The sequence below is a fragment of the Homo sapiens genome, chromosome 2 (assembly GCF_000001405.40).
Source record: "Homo sapiens chromosome 2, GRCh38.p14 Primary Assembly".
NCBI lineage: Eukaryota > Metazoa > Chordata > Mammalia > Primates > Hominidae > Homo > Homo sapiens.
Genome location: NC_000002.12, coordinates 205,732,132 through 205,750,142, shown reverse-complemented (window position 1 = coordinate 205,750,142; position 18,011 = coordinate 205,732,132). Strand labels below are relative to the sequence as shown.

Here is an 18,011-nt window from a genome sequence, read left to right as displayed (position 1 = left end):
AGGGCTCAACAAATGAGACTCCTCAAAAGAGGAGTTCTCTTTGGAGTCATCCTTGTCTCACCTGATGTCTAGTGGGTTCACACCAGTAGGGCTGTACTGGTTGTTACACTATCCAAATGCTTCTACATTGGTTGTAAACAGCCACTGCCCCAAACCCCTAAGTGCCCCCACCTCTCTTACCACTTCTTTGAGATCCCCTGGATCTCTGATCTGGGGGACCACTAGGTCCCTGTCCAGCCACAGGCCAGCTCCCACTCTGACTAGTCCGCACCCATGCCATCTGGAGGCAATTTGTGCTTACCATCCTCAAAGCTGCAGTTCTCCCCACACTCTGTGGCCTCCTCTTCGGTGGGGTAGGGGGTGGTTGTCTCTTCGCTCTTCACAGTGGGTCCCAGCGTCTCTACCGTGGGCTTGGAGTCTGTGTAAGGGCAAAGGAAGATAAGAGAATGCTGTAGCAGCCTGTGTTGCAACCCAGCAGGAGGAAGATGCCAAACATCTCTAGAGAAGGGAAAGAAGATGCACACATGTGCACGGAACTCTGAAGTCATGTCTGTGTGCTGTCAACGAAGTCAGGGGCATCACCATAGTAGAATGAGAATGGTCCTGGGTTGCAGAACCAGCAGTGACAGAGGTAGGGACACAAACCCACATTCTTTACTCCACAGCAGAGGCCCCGAGTTTAGCACAAAAGGCCACGAGACAATAATGGAGGGGGCTACAGGCGACGCTGACTCCAAGGAAGGACCAAAGCACACTCTGGCTCATGTTTGCACAAAACTGGATGGACGGGAATATGGATTTAAAGAGGCTCAGACCCTACATGGTGAAAGTGATTTGGGGCTATGTCTTTAGGTCAGGGTGTGGCAAGTTCAAGTGTTTCCTGGATCCAAACACCTACTGTAAGTGAGGAAAGCAGACGTGGTTGTGAGGGCAGGGGAAGGTTGGAGAGAGAGGAGGTGGTGAAAGCTGGGATCTTACATGCCTGGTTTAAAGGTGGCCTCCATGACTGGCTCCAGCAGACTGGGGCCTGGAGGGGAGGTGGCCCAGTGTGGCCAGGCCAGGTCTTCCAAATCTTTCCCCCTTTCCTTCCCCCAACAAGAAAGCAAAAATCCCTAAGTAAAATCTCCAGACTCTACATGTTGGCAACTTATTAAAAATGTTATACTAAGTAGCACACAATGAACCCTGGCTAGGCCAAACCTGGCTGCAGGCAGGGGGTTTTGACCTCAGCTCTAGGTGATTCATTCACCTATTCATTTGCTTATTTGCTCATGCCCGTCATTCATTCAGCAACTATTGAGGGAGTGAATGGAGCTATGAGTCAGGCCCTGGGTGGGGTGAAAGGGGTTCTGGAAACTGGTGCTCAAGTCCATGTGTTTTGGGGTGGTGTCTTCATCCCAGAGCTGTCCTCCAACAGGATGCCAGTGCCTTGTCCCTCTCATTTCTATACATGCTCCTTTGCACTACTGTATGTGATTAGGCGCCTTTGTCAGGCACCCTTCAGGATACCATTTAATAAAGCCAGGAGCTGGAGGAAATTGCTAAATACGCTGAATAGCTTTTTCACGGTCGGCTTCCCACCTTTCTGCTATTAAATACTACGCACATAACCTTTCATACTTCCCTTTGCTGTGTCTGCCTTTTGCTCACAGTAAATAGCAAATAACCTCGAAGTGTCCTAATTTGTAAGTTCAAGTTTGTCACTGTGTCATAGAAACTCGATTGTAAAGCAAACTATGGGGCAGTAAGGCAAAACATAATTATTTGAAACACAAACCAACTAACAGGTGAAGCAGCCCTGTCAAAGTATTTAGCTGCAGCAGCTCAGCCCAGCCCATTATTTTTCCTGTTATCCTTTGGGATAGGGATGAAGAAGTGAACCGAAGATGAGTGTGAGAAACAGATGGAAATTCGAAAAGCAAACATAGCCACGTGACCTATGGAGAACAGTTTCTGGAAATGTTAGGTAGCAAAATGGGTCAGCTGATTGGTGTAAAGAATGTTAAACCCAGGGGCCAATGAGGCACCGGAGGGCAGGGCGTGTAAATGAAAGTGGAGGAACGGCGGGCACCGAGGCCTCGGTGTTTATACTGTTTGTACTATGTTTGTACTGGGTGCTCCAAGGTAACTGCCCATCAAACAGCAACGCTACCCCTGAAATTGAAACCAGATGTCAGAGACTTCAAAGGAAAGGAGGCTGGGCAGAGGGGAACGCTCCTCAACTCTGATCTTCCAAGGAATGGCCAGGCAGGGCTTTGAAATAAGAAACCTGTCACTGACCATCACCAGTGTAATTTGGGGCATGTTGGGATTGGGGAGCAATGAAGGAAAGAGGTCATTAGCAACTGTCCCACTGGCCAGACTGGGAGGGCATGGCACTGAAGGGCAAGGGATGGGGGGAAGAATGAGGTGGACTTCATCCAGCTGAGTGACCTCTGGCAAGTGACTTCTACCTTCTGGGGCTGTTTCCTTGTCTATGAAAGAGGAATTGGCCCAGGTCTGTGATATTTCCCAAACCACGCATCACTCTCATCATTGGGTTGTGGAATCCGTCGAATAGGTCATGACCAGCTTTTAAAACATACCGACTATAATATTTTGGAGTGCACTTCCATGGTTAAGATGACCATTGCTTTGGGAACCTTTTGTTTCAGTTACAGTTATTTATCATAACAGGTTTGCTGGGTGCAGGCAGTAGTCTAAGTATTTCACATCCATTCATTCATTTAATCCTCACAATGACCCTATGGGGTAGACAGACTATTGTCCTCTCCATTTTTCAGCTAAGATAACCAAGGCGCTGAGAGACTAACTTTTCTGAGGTTATGCAGCCAGCCAATGGCAGGGGCAGGACTTGAACTTGGCAATCTGTCTCCAGAGTCCAAGCACTTACCCATACACTGTACCCCGTATACACCACTGTGTGTGAGTGCTTATAAGTGAAGCGGGTTGTGAAGGAAAATTATTTTAAATTGTGTATCATGGGCAGAAGTGTGTGAAAGCCACTGGCTTACAAGCTCCTGGATCCCCTACAGCGCTGAGCCCCTGATTCCAGGGCACATAAATGAAGCCAGCTTGTATCGGGGGGAGGTTTTCTGCACCTGTGAGAGGACGGGTGACACACGTTTAGCAGGCTGCAGGGAACTTTGGCCTCATCCCCAGGTAATGGGGAGTTAAGTGTCTTCCTATGAAGATGTGTTCGCTGGGGCTGCCTTCAATTCAAAAGTGAGGAGGCTAATTTGGGCCCAATTCCCAGCCCGTGTGCCTCAACAGGGCTCCTCTGCGCTGCTGTAGCCAGCATACAGGCAGCATTTTTCTCCCTGGGAGCCAAAAGCACTTCTCCGACATGCCCTTATTAATCCCTCATGCCATCCTGCCGGCTGAGCCCGTGACAGGTACGGCACAGACAGGAAAATGGGGATACCTGGGGCTCTGGCGGAGGAGGGCAGGATAGCTCAGGCTGGTGGCTGCTCCTGCTGGCATCAGGCTCAGTCCCTGAGCCCCAGTGGCTCCCACAAACTCCTTTTGGCAGGCAGTGAGTGAGCTCTGGGTAAGATCTGGTGCCAGCTCTGCTGAGGGAGGAGGGCTGGCGACCCAAGGAAAGGAAGGTAGGGCCTGACTCAGAAGGGCAGGGCCCTCCCTCGGAAACCAGGAAGGCTGGGCACCCTCCGTGGGCCTCACCCTCATTTGGAATGATGAGAGGTGTTCCCCAAGGCCTGGGCCACCTGGCAGGAATGAGCAGGACAATGAGAAGGAGTCCTGCCCCCATCAGCTCCCTGCAACAGGGTCCCTCCTGAGCAAATAAATGCCTTTTACAGATGTGGCTCCGAAATGAAAATGAAGTCTCTTAGCCACTGACATCTGGAGGCCAGATTCAGACATAAACCGATTACTTTATTATCATGAGGGGTTTTTTTCTTCCCTAAATCAACAGCCACAGCCCTCTGGCCTGAAGAGCCAGGGTCTAATTGAATTTGGGTGGGTGGTGTGTGGTTATGATTTGTTTTTGAGAGACTCGGGTTGGAGAACTGAAATGATCCCTTAAAAAAGACAAAGTACATCCCTTGAGAAACTGTCCCAAGTCCAGAGGCTGCAGTACCCGTGGTCTGAGGCAGGAGAACATGGCAGGGGTCTGCAGCATTTCCAGCTCCTGGGATGGCTGCCCCCTCCACAGCCCTCCCAGGGCCTCGTGGGATGCCAGGGTCAGAGGACCATGTGGGTGAGATGCAAAGAGGAGGAAATGTCATCTTACCTGTCCAGTCACAGCCCAGCACCTCCAGCCGCATCCCAATCCCCGCCGGCGACCACCTCTCCGGGTATACCCGCACATACTGTGCCGGAATGGGGTCAAACCTTCGGATGTCAGGGGTGTCATAGTGCATGTTCCCTTCGAACAGCTGCAGGGAGAGAGGCCACTCAGCCCTTCTGGTGTGGGACCCAGTCCCTATCACCTTCTTCCCTTTCCTTCCCCTTCTCCTCCCTGCCCCGCACGTCCTGCTAGGAAGGCAGCTTCCTAGTTGATTCCTGGTCACTGGGACATTCTGATCCACGCGAGCTTCATTTTCAGACCAAGGATTTTATTCATTTGGAAGGTGGTTATGGACCCAGAATTATGGAAAATAGGAAGTAAACAAAGGTGGCAATTTCCAGGTTGTGTCTTTTACCTGGTGACTAAAATGGAGTATCTGGGGAAGAATTTGGCTCCAACTGCGTTTTCAGCTGACTTTGGCTAGAGAGGGGGGAAGGCAGTTTGGGCGATCTTTGACCGTTCTGAATTCCTGGTCTACAGGGAAAGGAACACTTCTTTTTCTAATGTGTGAAAGCCTCCATTGAGGTAACCCAAGCTGACTGATAGTTCCTAGCTCACTGAGAACCTTACGGGAAAATGACCCCTAGGCCAATGACACTGTCTTCTGGTCACACATCGATAGTCTTAGACTGTTTCCCAAACCTTTGTTTAGGGAAAGCACTCCTGTCAAAAGAAACCTCACATGGAGCCCCAGTACATAAAACTGATGATGCGGGGAGCAGGGGGCTGCTTTGGAGGACCAGCCTAGAGTACACTTGGAGACACTCATCCGGGGGAAGGACAGGAGTGGGTGGCCAGGGCCTGCAGCTGATTAGCCCCCAGAAATTCAGCAGGACCGCTCCAGTTTTCAGGATGCCCTGCGTCCACAATTCTGAACCAGAAGCACTGTCTCGGATAGGGCTGTCTCCCACAATGGCAAAGATCAACTTCTTTCCCAAGAAAAACCAGGCTCAGCTCTCCATGGGGAAGCCTGCGGTCCAACTTCTGCTCCATCGATGCAAGGTTCCAGTTACCAAGCCCTGAGCCTTTCTAAGCCTCTGGAGTTGAGAGCTGGGAGTTTACCTCAGCATCGCAAAACCTCCAACCCAACTCTTGCCTCTGTATTCAGAATGGAGACATTTGCTTAGCAAAGGTGGCCCCGAGACATGCAAACTCCCTCCTTTTTTAGGGACCTGTTCTTTTGAGAAAAACAAGGGGTAACTAGAGATAAGAATCAGAGAGCCTGGCCTGCCAGGAGACTGATCTGGGGAGGGACAGAGGTATGACGTCTCCTCCCCTTCTGGGGCTCCTTGTGTCTGTGTTGAAGGCTGACCTTCACTCTGGTGGCAGGGGAGTAAGCTGTACTGGCCTGAGCTTCTGGCTCGGGGTGAGTTTCTCTTGCTTCTCCCTTGCCTCAGTCTGAGAGGCCGGAAAGATCTAAGCAGTCAAAACTAGGAGAATACAAAGGAATGCAGCGACATTCAGAAAAACATCGTTATTTTTGGAAGTCATCCTCTAGTTTCTATAGCTTGGCCTCCAAAAACCACATCCCCTTTAGATGTCTGGCCAATTTCAAGGAAACTTTATCTGAAAGAGTGTATAAAGAGTGTTGAACTTTATAAAAAGGCAGTGTTCAGTAGGGGTTAGGCATCTGGACTTTGGAGTCAGACTTCCGGTTTCTGAATCGGCTCTATCACAGGTGAACTGTGTGACCCTGGGCATGATATCAAGTGTCAGTTTATCATCTCTAAAATGGGAGTGACAAAAAGATCTACTTTGCACAGATGTTGTAACGATTAAAAAAGAGTCCAGGCCGGGCGCGGTGGTTCATGCCTATAATCCCAGCACTTTGAGAGGCCAAGGCAAGTGGATCACTTGAGGTCAGGAGTTCGAGACCAGCCTGACCAATACGGTGAAACCCCATCTCTACCAGAAATACAAAAATTAGCTAGGTGTGGTGGCGGGCACCTGTAATCCCAGCCACTCAGGAGGCTGAGGCTGGAGAATCGCTTGAACCCTGGAGGCGGAGGTTGCAGTGAGCCGAGAACAGGCCACTGCACTCCAGCCTGGGTGACAGAGACTCCATCTCAAAAACAAACAAACAAACAAACAAAAGAGTCAGAAATAAGGTATTTAGCACAGTGCCTGGCACAAAGTAATCTCTCAAACGATATTTGTTTTATTGGATTTCAGGAGTTGGATGACGACTGTTTAGATGGGACATCATCAGTCTCAACTCCCTGTACCACACTTAGCCTCCCTGTTGAGGGTAACGTTACAGAGGCCTCCAAGAACAGCCTACCTTTGGCTGCTGGGTCCTGGGGTCCTGAATGTATTCCCAGTCCTTGCCGTTTAGGCTGTAGGAGACTTTGAACTTGCGCACAAATGCTCTGGCTTCCACAGCAGTGATACTGTCTCCTCCGCGGGCTCCCTGGATGATGACACCTTTCACTGTCTTGGGTGTTCCCAGATCTACCTGAAGCCACTCCTCACCGGGCTGGGCCTGAGGGATTCGAGGGAACCAGCCCGAGCGGCTGCTAACCAGGCGGGCTGCACTGGGGCTCCAGAGGTATTCCTGGGTGGAAGAGGCGGAGATCTGGGAGTCTGCAATGAGGCCTGAGAGCATCCCCAGCATGTTGGAGCAGGGAGCATCTGCAGAGAGGAGAGGAAGATACAAGAGGTCATGGCTGACACCTGCTAACCAGGGACCACCCGCTATAAGAAGGGAGCTGCAAAAGAGCCCAACTGTCAAATACTAAGTCAGCACTAATTTCTTTGCATGGTGAATGTGTACAGCACTGTGGTTAAGAGCCTGGACTCAGAGCTAGACTGCCTGTGTTCATGTTCACTCTGCCACTTACTAGTCAGAGGGCCTTGGGCAAATTATTTAATTGCTCTTTGCCTCAGTTTCCTTAGATCTAAAGGGGAGCTAATAGAGGTGCCTACCTCTTGAGGGCTGTTGCAAGGATTCTGTTAGTTACTAAGAGCTCACAGGATGGTGCCTGGCATATTTAAGTATCCAATGGCCATTAACTATTTGTGCTTACAGCTCTAACCAAGGACTCTCAGAATGTGTGTCTGCACATCCCTGTCGATGACACTAGTCCCCACTGACCCTATCAGGGACACTGAGAACAGGGGAACTGAGCTAAACATTGAATTATTTCCTAGTAATTGTTTTGCCAAGTAGAAGGAAACCTTCCTGGCATCAGTATCAGGTCTTTACTTCCCAAATAACTGCTCTTTACTGCCTTGGATCCTTCCCACATGCTGTTCCCATTACCCCAAATGCTTTTCCCTTCAGTCACCCCCAGACTAACATTTTCTTACCCCCAAGCTCAAGTGTCATATCCACAGAAAAGCTGTTCCCAAATTTTCAATCCTCACTAAATTGGTTTCCCTCAGAGCACCCTGTTCTTTTCCTTCATGTGCACATTCTAGTTTATCCAGTACTTGCATTTGTTTATTATCTATCTTGCTCAGTAGCCTGAAAGTTCTACGATGTCAGAGACCCCATCTATTTTGTTCCTGTCTCTATGTCCCATTCCCAGTGTGTGCCTGGCACATCAGATGTGTGGAACAAATGATTGAGTGGAGAATGCATGAATAAATGATGTCAGGCAAGGCAGGGTCTATAGTCAATGTGCATTTCATACTTGCAAACTGAGCTATGGATAAAAAAGATCCTCCACGTTGTTCCCCTTCTTCAAAATCACTGGTTCTCTCCTTTCAATCTTCCAGAGAATGACCTCTACCTAAATCTTTGCTGATTATCCTGGAACAGCAACAGGGAAGGGACAGAAAATAGTCCCCTAGACAGGATTAGCATAAACTGATCCCATTAGAAGAAAATGGGTCTTTGTGTAAATGTGGTAAGAGCAGAGAATTTGAATTGAGAAAACGTGGGTTCAGATCCTGGCTCTGTCACCTCCTAGTTGAATGACTTTGGGCAAGCTATTTAGCCTCTTTGAGTCTTGGTTTCCTTATCAGTCCCTGGCCCACCTTACCTCACAGGGTTGTTAGAAAGTGTAGGCAAGATGATAAACAAGAAAGGCATGTGGAGATGCAGAGACTGTACAAACACAAGGTGTTTTAACTAGAAACCTCAAACAGGGTCAGACCTTGGAGCACTCCCTGTCAGAGCTGGAATGATTAGGGGAAAGGCACGTGGATGGATGTACACTGAAGACACTTCCAGGTCAAAGAGGCAACTTGCCTGCCCTGGGCTGAGCCCACAAGATAAAGGGGATTGGTCTGTCCATAAATTTCTGGGGCTAATCCAGCCATCATCATCTCCCATCTGCACCCCCTGCATTGCCTCCTATAATGTCCCAACTCCCACTCTGGTCTTCTCCAATCTACATGCCTTGGGTTTCAGCCCACAAGCTGTGTCCATGCTCCTCACTTCCTCTTTTGGTCCCTCTTGCCACCGTGCCATTGAGAAAGCTGTGACCATTGCCTGGTGCACCTTCCCTCCCTTCTTCACCAGGTAATGTCTGTTATTTGCCTTCTAACCTCACCTCAATCATCACCTCCTCAAAGAAGTCTTCCTTGAGCTCCTAGGCTGGGTCAAATCCCCTACGATGTACTTCCAAGGACCATAAGCCTCTATGTCCAGACATTGATCATAGTTTTGATTTTATATTTATTTATGAGTTTATCAGTATGTCTGCCCAACTTGTCCATATGCCCACACAGAACAGTCTGTTGTGCCCACCTTTGTGTCCACAGCACCATGCACAGCTCTTGGCCCCCGGTTGAGGCAGCAGAGAGTGTTATTTGAAAGCAAGGGCTTTGGACTGGAACTGCCTAGATTCAAACCATGGCTCTACCACTTACTGGTGAGTGACCTAGCTCTTTAAGTCTTGGTTTCCTCATCTGTAAAGTGAGGAGAATAATACCCATGGAGTCCTTATGAGGATAATAAAATATGTTACATCTTAGGTGCTTAGAATGGCATCTGTACCTAGTTAGCATTCCATAAATGTTAGCTATTAATAGAAATCGTAGATGCTTAATAAATGTATACTGAATGAATGAATGAAAAGACAAACTCTGGTAGGACTTGAGTCCTTGAGCCAGTCTTTCTGGGAAGGTCATGTGGTGCAGTCATGCTGTTTGCAGAGAGTTGAAAGGGAGCAGAGCCTAGGGCTCAATCAGCACCCCAACCTCATTGGAGCCCCCACCTCACCTGTGACCCGGCAGCCGAAGAGCTCCAGCCGGAGGGCGATACCTGAGTGCCAGGTCTGAGGGCGGATTCTAACAAACCTTGTCAGCAGTGGAGCGTGGAGCTTGTTCAGAACCACCTCAGTTGCATCGTTGTTGGCTTGAAATACCTGTAGCGTAAGATGCAAAACCATGTTATTGAAACCCCTGTTTGTAGTTCAGCCACTTGAGCAGTCTTTGAAGGGGATGGGAAAGTTCTGTCAAATTTTCTTTCCCTCAAGCTTAAAAATAATCAGTGGGTATGTTGTTTTGGGCTTTTTAAAGAAACACTGTAAAAAAAATTAATTTCTCACACTGTTCTACTTGAAAATTATCAGTGGTCTTCCCAGAAACTTTTAGAGGGAAGGAAAATTTTGCCTCCAGGCTGAGAGCAGGCAGAAGAAGGAAAACACTTGAGAAGCTAAGGAAGAAAGAGAAAAGTAGAATATCTGTTTAAAATGAAGTAAAAATATCATCTTTTAGGGCTACCAGACCTCACTCACTAGCTTGAACTTGACACTCCCTCTTCCTCATGTTGCAGGCACCTAGGAATATTTGCAGAGCATTTTCTAATTGCAAAGTGCTTCACGGTTGTTTTTGTTAGTTACTTGATGCCATCCCACCCATGAGCGGACAAGATGATGAGGGGCACCCTCTACCTACAATGGCCCTGTGTCAATCAACACTTTCTTGGTTCTCTCTGATCTTTGTGGCAGGGTCAGGGTTGCAGACAGTCCTTCAGAGTCCTGCTCCAGCTTCCTCTCACTGTAGTCCTGCCCTGTAATGAAATCCATCCCTGTCCCCATCTGACCAATACATCTCTTATGGGAGGGAAGGCTTTTTGGAACAGCTTCTGATCCTACATGGTGGGAGCAAGTCCTGGCTTTCCAGATGGCCCAGATCAATAACTGCCATATGGACCTTATGCTTTTTTGTGCTCTCTGCTCAAAAAAAAAAAAAAAAAAAAGTAACTAGAGCAAAGTATATGTGAGTTTCCCTTGGTTTTCCTGAATAAGGGTAGAGGGAAAAACCAACTAACCAACCATCACTTCTAAATCATTTCTGTCATAGCTGTAACAACCAAGGGACTCTGTAAATCTACTTACAGCCAACTCTGCAACCATCAGCGACTTCTCCTGCTTAGGAGAACTAGATGTTTCGGCTCCTGATATTCAGACCATGCCAAGTGTTTGGGGGCACCAACAGGGCTGGGACAAGAGAACTGGGGAAACTGGTATATTTGAAGACTTTTCAGCCAGATGCAACAAAATATCTTTGAGTATAAACAATTATATCTATAGTACCCCAGAAGGTAGATATTCTTATCTCCACTTCATTGGATAAGGAAACTGAGGCTCAGAGATGCCTGTCTGGATCCAACATCCTTGCCAAGTTTTTAGGTTTTAAGCTTGTAGTTTCTTCTAACACATTTGCAGTGTTTATGCTGGTGGCTGGGAGTCATGGGGCCCTTAAAGTCTCCAGGCATGGGCTGAATGGAGGTAGAGTCACTGTCCAGTGATGTGTTTCCAGTGTGAGTTTATAATCCCACCTTAGAATGGCTTTGAGTAATGGCAAAGAGCAGCACAGAAGTCTACAGCCAATTGACAACACAGTCCTTTCTTCCCCATGAACTGTGAACTCCATCATTTAACAGCCCTATTTCCTGCTTGCTAAGGTTAAAAGTTAGAGCCATTTAATAACACACCACTGAAGACACCATACCTTTTGCAAGTAAATGAAGGGAAGTGGCTGGCTGAAGACAAACAGGGAAGCAGATTTTCGCTGGTCCACCATATTCAGTTTAAACCATTGATCTGGTGCGAAGTCCACCAAATCTGGGGGTGCCCCCTGCGCACCCAGCCTGCTGCTCCCTCTCCTCCCCTGGGAAGTCCTCCCACCCGGGTCCTAAGGTTGACAGCAGGGAGCACCGGGAAAGAACTTGTTAGTCATGCCTCTCTCCCAGGTTTGATTTTGCTGCTTCCTGTATAGCGATTGTGGATGAGAAGGAGTGAGAAGACCAAGTTAGCGAGGGAAGGAGAAAAGCCAAGCAAAGGGAAGGAAAGAAGGTTAGGGCCAGACACCCTGGAGAAGGCCCAAGGGGAGTGGTGACTGACCCTACTTCCTTCGTACTGAAAAAGGGCTCCACAGCTCTCAGGAAAGGGATGGGGAACTGGATCCAAAGAAAAGAGATTCATCAGTTCTCTGAGAATTCAGCATGAGGCAGAGGCTTTCTGTTTTGTTTTGTTTTGCTTTGCTTTGTTTTGTTTTGGAAAGGAAGAAGCAAATGCAGCACTTTGCTTATTTCGGATGGGTGTTGTGAGCAGCAGCAGGGGGGCCTCCACTGGCTTGCTCTCTGAAGATGGTGATGGGGACTGTGTGTGTGGTCGCCATCAGGAGACGCTAAGGAGTTCACATTGGGTGAAAAAAGCTTTACTTGTCACGTGAATGCATAATTGGAAAGTTGAGTGGATCTGAACTTTAACACTGCCGCTAATCCACAGCATACACACCACGCTGGTACCGTTTAGAAACACAGCATGTCTTATGTGTTGTTAATATCCAATTTTATCTTATCCGACCCCTGCATTTCTCAGCCTTGGCAGGCAACGCTAAGAGACCTTTTCTTTCCTCAATGAGTAAATGATTGTGTATTTGGACTGTCTTTGGGATGGCGGTGTGTGCATGAGTGTGGCTCACATGGGCATGGGCTGCACGCACTCGCATGTATGAGCTGAGGGAGGGGGTCAGTCTTCCCATGGATACATGTGGCCACAGGCTCTGGGTGAACCCCCTAATCTCTGCTTACAGTAGCACCACTCAGGAAGGGAGGCAAGCACACAGTTTGTGTCCCCTAGGCCATCTACCTGACTGCTTCAATTGAACTTCAGTCTGCCCTTTCATTTTGCCCACTCTTCTCCCACCCTTGAATCAAATGAAGGATCTTTTCAACTTAGCTTCAAATTACCCTTCACGTTTCCAAGCCTAGTTCCTGAACTGTTTTCTTGTCTGCTCTTGACTTTGTGTTCACATCTGCCTTCTGTTCTTTGGATGGTGAAGGAACACCATCTTATTAGATTTTTTAACACACCTCTCACTCTGAGTGTGGTATAGTGGGAAAAACAACACACACACACAAAACACTACTGAATCAGAAGCCAGGAGCTGTGCTCTGCGGCTAATTAGCTCATAAGTGTGGGCAAATATCTCTACCTCCCTCGGGCCCCAATTTCCTCCTCTGTTAAATGAGGGGATTGTATGAGTTGATTTGTAGGGTTCTCTCTGGTCCCCTGCTTCTAAACCTTTCTTCGCATGACTTTTTGTGGTTTGAACTGCTCTAACAGTGTCCATTTTGCAACAGGGCACTTTAGTTACCCGTTGTCCCTTACAGCCTAAGTGCTTTTGCAGACGGTGGCTGTGGACTTTTTATACACTTTGAATAGTGCCCAGAACACATGGGGAGTGCCCCATTCACAGGGCGACTATACCTTGTTGATGTGTTGGTTCAATACCAGTTCAAATTATTAATAACAAAGAGTAATGAATAACAACGCCTTAGTCCTTACATATTGTCTTTTGCCCAAAGATATCAAAGTGCAATTTATGAAAATCCATTTTTAATGAAATATTAAGCAGTTTCTATTTATCCTGACCCAATGGTTTTACAAGGTCTCTATTTTTCTCCCTGCATCTCCCCTATTTATAGCTAGTAAATGCTATCATATATTATACATCTTTATGACTTTCTCAATGCTTCTGTGGTTTTAGAATCACCCTTCATATGTTTTCTGATCAAATTCACTGAGATGGATTCTTGGCTTCCAGTCTAGGCATTGCAAGGTAAGGGGTTGTGTGCATGGGAAATGACGCCAGGAAATTGGTTTTATTCCCTATTCCCTGACAACTCACTGAATCATTATAGGCAAATCAATAAACCTTAGATACCTTGGTTTCTCCTTCAGGAAAATAAAGTCGATAATAGGCTTGCAGATAGACACTTAAGTTTACTGGCCCTCCCTCCAAGGCTTGCATAGCACCCAGGACAAATGTTAGCGTGTAAGCCAGGTCACAAGTAACAAGTGGGTCTTTGCACAGGTGGGAGAGTTTAAGTTCCAAAAGCCACGACTACTCCCAAGTCCCACCTTCAGGCCAACAATTTTCAGATGACAACTTTGCAGTGAGGTATCTGAGAAAAATCGGTGGGTTGCCTTGTATGTTATACTCAGATAGGAATGTTAACATCTGCTTTAGAAGCTGGATGTCACAGAGGACATATATTTTTTATTTATTTAATTTAATTTATTTATTTTTGAGATGGGGTTTTGCTCTGTCACCCAGGCTGGAGTGCAGTGGCACAATCTTGGCTCACTGCAACCTCTGCCTCCCGGTTTCAAGCAATTCTCCTGCCTCAGCCTCCCTAGTAGCTGGGATTACAGGTATGCGCCACCAAGCCTGGCTAATTTTTATATTTTTAGTAGAGACAGGGTTTCACCACGTTGGCCAGGCTGGTCTTGAACTCCTGACCTCAAGTGATACACCTGCCTTGACCTCTCAAAGTGCTGGGATTACAGGTGTGAGCCACCATGCCTGGCCCACTTTTTATTTGTTTTAAAAGAAAGATCTTAGTATGGTTGTTTACTACCCAAAGGAAAATCACAAGTATGTTCAAGGTGACCCTAGCTTTCTGATGCTAGTGTTGATTATGTTGTAATTATTAAAAATATATGTGTGTGCGTATTTAAAAAGAGCTAAGTTGAACATAAAGATTTCTTCAAGTGCATCTCTGCAAACCAAGTTTAAAAAGCGATTCAGGGCACAAAGTGGTCTGGATAATCTATTGGGTGCCTCTCTGAATTCTGAATATAATCCAGCATTTTTCAATTGATTCTTGAGACCTCTGATTTGTTTTCAGTAGCCCAGAACCTGAAAACCATCAGCATTTCCTGGATTTTCTGATTTGCACCTCTAGGGGAGTGGGGGACCTGCCAATTAAATCAGCTGCTATCCAGCATCCCAGTTTGGTTGTTATCTACACTCCCAGGCAAAGAAAATCAGTGCATTTTGACCATTCCTGTGAGTCCACAAGGCATGGACAATATAATTCAATGTAATATATATTATAGAATATATTCATTCTATATATTATATAGAATATATTCTATAATATACATTATATATATAATTATATATATATATAAAATCTAATAAGAAGCATCCAGCCAGAACGCATTACTGATGGTTTCTGAGGCCATCTCAGAACATTTTCTCTGCTTCCCACCCCATTTCTAGTCACAGTCACCTCTTCTTTGCTGACCCCTCCTTAAGTTGTCTTTGAAGAATATGCAGTGACTGACATAGCTGAGGACAGTGAGCTTTGCAGCCTTCCTACCTTCTAGGCCTCTAGGCAGAGGAATTTTTCTGCCCAGCCTAAAGCCTTTTCTTATATACCATTCATCTTTGCTATCAATACCCATGTGCCCAGGACAGTGTAGATGCTACCTGTCATCATGCCTGCCTCTGGGGCCTAAGATGAAGATTCTGTCCAAGTCTTTGAGCTCCTTGGAGGAGAGACACGGCTGGCTGTTTCACCCTTCCCAAATGAGGCGGGCCCTTTGGGGTACAAAAACAGTCTCTCTTCACGTGCACCACCTCTCATGTGAGTAGCGCTTCAGCACTCAGCTTGCACACTCCCATCTCTTCATTACCTATGGTGTGAACTACTGTTTACTTCTATTTTGCTGTAAATATCTGAAGTCAGCCAGCTCCAGGGACTGCAAAGAAAGCAGGGAAATATTTCCAAGACAGCGCAGTGCTGGAGCCCTGGGGTAGACATTGTGCACGAGATGTTCCTCTTCTTTTTTAAAATAAATATTTCTCTCCACTAATAAATGTTTCATTGCCTCCAAAGTTCTCCCTTTCAATGTACTTGGCACAGACACTCAAGAAGGGGGAAAACAAAGCAGGCAGAAGAGAAAAGTGGCAGGAATGCAGGACAGAGGCTGGGGGAAGCCAGAAGCATGTTTTTAAAACTAGTGTCAGGAACAAATGTGCTGACTCATCCGCTCACCCTGACTGCAGATCTGTGTGTCCTCCCTCTCCCACCCCCTTCCCTTGCATCTGCTCTGAAACCAGCCATTGGGTCTACACGTAAAAATAAATTGCTAATCAATGAATGCCATCCTGTTTAATTAATTTGTTGCACAAAACAGTCAAGTAGGGGGAGGGAACTGTTGCGATGCGGGGTGGGGGGGGGCGGTGGGAAATGATATGAAGGCAATGGGCTTTTTTTGTTGTTTGTGAATCATGGTCCTGATCTTTCTCCTTTAAAACTCCCCTTTAAAGACAATTTAAAAACTTGTTTTAAAGCTTGTTTCATTCTAGTGGATGTGGGAACTTAGCCAGATATAGAGTTAGAGGCATGTGTGTGTGTGTGTGTGCACGTGTATACTTTACATAGATATATGTATATATATATATATATAAACACAGAGAGAGATTAAGAGAAGGTAGGGATGCCGGTAGGCAAAGAAGCTGTCTAACAACCAAATGCACATTTAGGACTCTGATGACCTCTGCTCTCATCCTCCTTTACTTTCGGGCTGTTTTTGTCATCAGGCAGCTTTCCTACATGAAGGAGGAGACAGAGGCACAGGGGCGGCTGCGTTCTGGGGGGCGGGGATGTGCGCATCCCCATCTGTGTGGGCCTGCGGGGCCCGCTAGATTTACTGCGGGATTATGTTACCCCCATCGAGACGCTGAGGCCTGGAACACAGCATACTAACAGGATTAGGGTTTCAGGATTTGAGACAGGAACGCATCAGGGAGGAGCGGGGAGGAGGGCAGCTCAGGGGTGGGGCTGGAGAAGAGCAGGCGGGGGAGGAGCACAGGATCAGAGCAATGAGCGGGCTTGGGGGGAACAGTCAATGTCCTAGGAAGAGGGAAGGAGAAACTCGGACATTCTAGGACATTCTAGCTGGGTGGGGTGGGCCCTCCACCCCTGGAAACCTCCTAACACAGATGTTTGGGTTTTCTTAAGGAGGTGCCTTTAACTCCCAGGTGGGGAGAGATTGAGGGAACAGGGAGTGAGGTTCCAGAGACCTCTGCCACCTGCCTGCCTCTTCAGGTGGAGGCTCTGCAAACCGGAGCAGGGACAAGGTGACATCAGAGAGCAGGACAATCTACCAGGTGAGGGCTTCACTCCAGTGCTCATCTACATTAGTTGGGGTTGGGGCAAGGAACATGATTCCACAGCCCAAGCAGAATCACAGCGCCCTTCCACATCCCCTCTGTGTGCTCCTTGTCACTGGCCTCTGTGCACAGCCGGGGCCTTGGAGTTTAACATCAAGGCTATCAGCGCCAGGGAGGCGCGCCTCAGCTACTGGAGACAGTTCAGCACCCACGGGAGCTGGGTGACGCTGGCCGCGGGAGCCTGATAGAGAAAAGGTTCAAGCTTCTGTATAATGAAATTTTCCCCTGAGCTTCCTAAGTGGAGAGGCTAAAGGTCTGAGCTCATCCCATGGCAAATGGATAAGGGACAAACTTAATTACCTAGGGCACTGGATCCTTCTCCATTATAATTGAGAGGGTCAGATAAACTGAGGGACTTGAACTTGGAAGGGGTATCAGCCCCCTTCAGAGCACACGCAACATGACTTCTGAAGGCTGGTGCCCATTACAGTGTGAGGTATTGTCCTCATCTCATATTCAACAAACAAAATTACTACCACAAAAGGAATAAGGGGAAGCCCATCATCTGCCAGGAGGTTTTTTTAAAAAAAAGGTTTTTCCTGAAAACTTAAATGATCAAGTAGAAGCATAATTGCATCCCTAAGAGAACAGTGAGGCTGGGATGGATGACATTTATCTGAGGCAGCTCAATGCAGGCCCCATCAGATGCAGGGAAAGGTCTGGATGACTTATCATGGTCCATTCCAGGCCTATGATTTTAAAAGAGGCCCATAAATATCCCATGGGGCCTTCTTACTTTTTAAATTGATAACTTGCTTCTGCTCAAGAAGAGCTTTGTGGGTCTACTCCATTAATTATATCCGCGGAGAGCCTTCCATCTACAGATCTCAAGGTGCTTTGCCGATAGCAGCCGCAGCGCCATTCCATTTGGACTGGGTGGAAACGCTGAGGCGTGCAGCCACTAAGAGATGTTTCCAAGATCACACGGTGCCCTGTTTAAGAAGATCTGAAAATAGACATCACGTGCCTCTAGCTGTTAGCCAACTGATTTGAGGGTTTGGTTTTCTGACACCACTCTTTCTCTCCTCCCAAGTCTCTGATTTAAAAATGATTTGTTTTAATTTAGAAAATAAATATGGGATAGAGGATTTTTGAAGTGGAGTGTTTATTTGTTTTGAAGGGATGTGGCCAAATCAAACAAATGGCAACTCCTTTCAACTCTCCATCCTCATGATTCTGTGGTGAAGCCCAGCTCCACAATAATGAGCCTAGTGGGTTAAGCCATGTACAGGCTCATCCTGCATGCAGAACTTCACTGAAGAGGAGGCTTTCC

The 18,011-nt window shown here is 47.2% G+C and overlaps 1 protein-coding gene across 16 annotated transcripts in view, besides 5 other annotated features; it reads right to left on the bottom strand.

Annotated features, from left to right (window-relative positions):
• The window catches only part of NRP2 (neuropilin 2), a 115,631-nt gene that overhangs the window by 47,989 nt on the left and 49,631 nt on the right, over positions 1 to 18,011 (bottom strand). For 15 of the 16 annotated variants that reach the window (XR_007083522.1, XR_923057.4, NM_201266.2 and 12 more), the window contains 4 exons: positions 9,480 to 9,624; positions 6,591 to 6,940; positions 4,253 to 4,397; positions 302 to 418 (listed from right to left, as the gene is read on the bottom strand). Coding sequence is in view for 14 of the 16 variants with exons in the window: in NM_201266.2 (NP_957718.1) it covers positions 302 to 418; positions 4,253 to 4,397; positions 6,591 to 6,940; positions 9,480 to 9,624 (757 nt within the window). In the remaining 2 variants the exon portion in view is untranslated. Of the gene's footprint in view, positions 1 to 301; positions 419 to 4,252; positions 4,398 to 6,444; positions 6,941 to 9,479; positions 9,625 to 18,011 lie in introns of those variants that run through there. The other variant, NM_201264.2, reaches the window with a different exon arrangement.
• Positions 118 to 740: an enhancer, noted in NCBI's record as "H3K27ac hESC enhancer chr2:206614127-206614749 (GRCh37/hg19 assembly coordinates)". NCBI's record gives its function as "activates a minimal SCP1, AML or CMV promoter by ChIP-STARR-seq in primed H9 embryonic stem cells {active_cell/tissue: H9 hESC(primed)}" and the evidence as "EXISTENCE:reporter gene assay evidence [ECO:0000049][PMID:30033119]".
• Positions 741 to 1,364: an enhancer, noted in NCBI's record as "NANOG-H3K27ac hESC enhancer chr2:206613503-206614126 (GRCh37/hg19 assembly coordinates)". NCBI's record gives its function as "activates a minimal SCP1, AML or CMV promoter by ChIP-STARR-seq in primed H9 embryonic stem cells {active_cell/tissue: H9 hESC(primed)}" and the evidence as "EXISTENCE:reporter gene assay evidence [ECO:0000049][PMID:30033119]".
• Positions 1,365 to 1,988: an enhancer, noted in NCBI's record as "NANOG-H3K27ac hESC enhancer chr2:206612879-206613502 (GRCh37/hg19 assembly coordinates)". NCBI's record gives its function as "activates a minimal SCP1, AML or CMV promoter by ChIP-STARR-seq in primed H9 embryonic stem cells {active_cell/tissue: H9 hESC(primed)}" and the evidence as "EXISTENCE:reporter gene assay evidence [ECO:0000049][PMID:30033119]".
• Positions 2,955 to 3,506: an enhancer, noted in NCBI's record as "H3K27ac-H3K4me1 hESC enhancer chr2:206611361-206611912 (GRCh37/hg19 assembly coordinates)". NCBI's record gives its function as "activates a minimal SCP1, AML or CMV promoter by ChIP-STARR-seq in primed H9 embryonic stem cells {active_cell/tissue: H9 hESC(primed)}" and the evidence as "EXISTENCE:reporter gene assay evidence [ECO:0000049][PMID:30033119]".
• Positions 15,384 to 15,678: an enhancer, noted in NCBI's record as "tiled region #14521; HepG2 Activating non-DNase unmatched - State 22:ReprW, and K562 Activating non-DNase unmatched - State 8:EnhW". NCBI's record gives its function as "activates a minimal TATA promoter and a strong SV40 promoter by Sharpr-MPRA in HepG2 and K562 cells {active_cell/tissue: HepG2 | K562}" and the evidence as "EXISTENCE:reporter gene assay evidence [ECO:0000049][PMID:27701403]".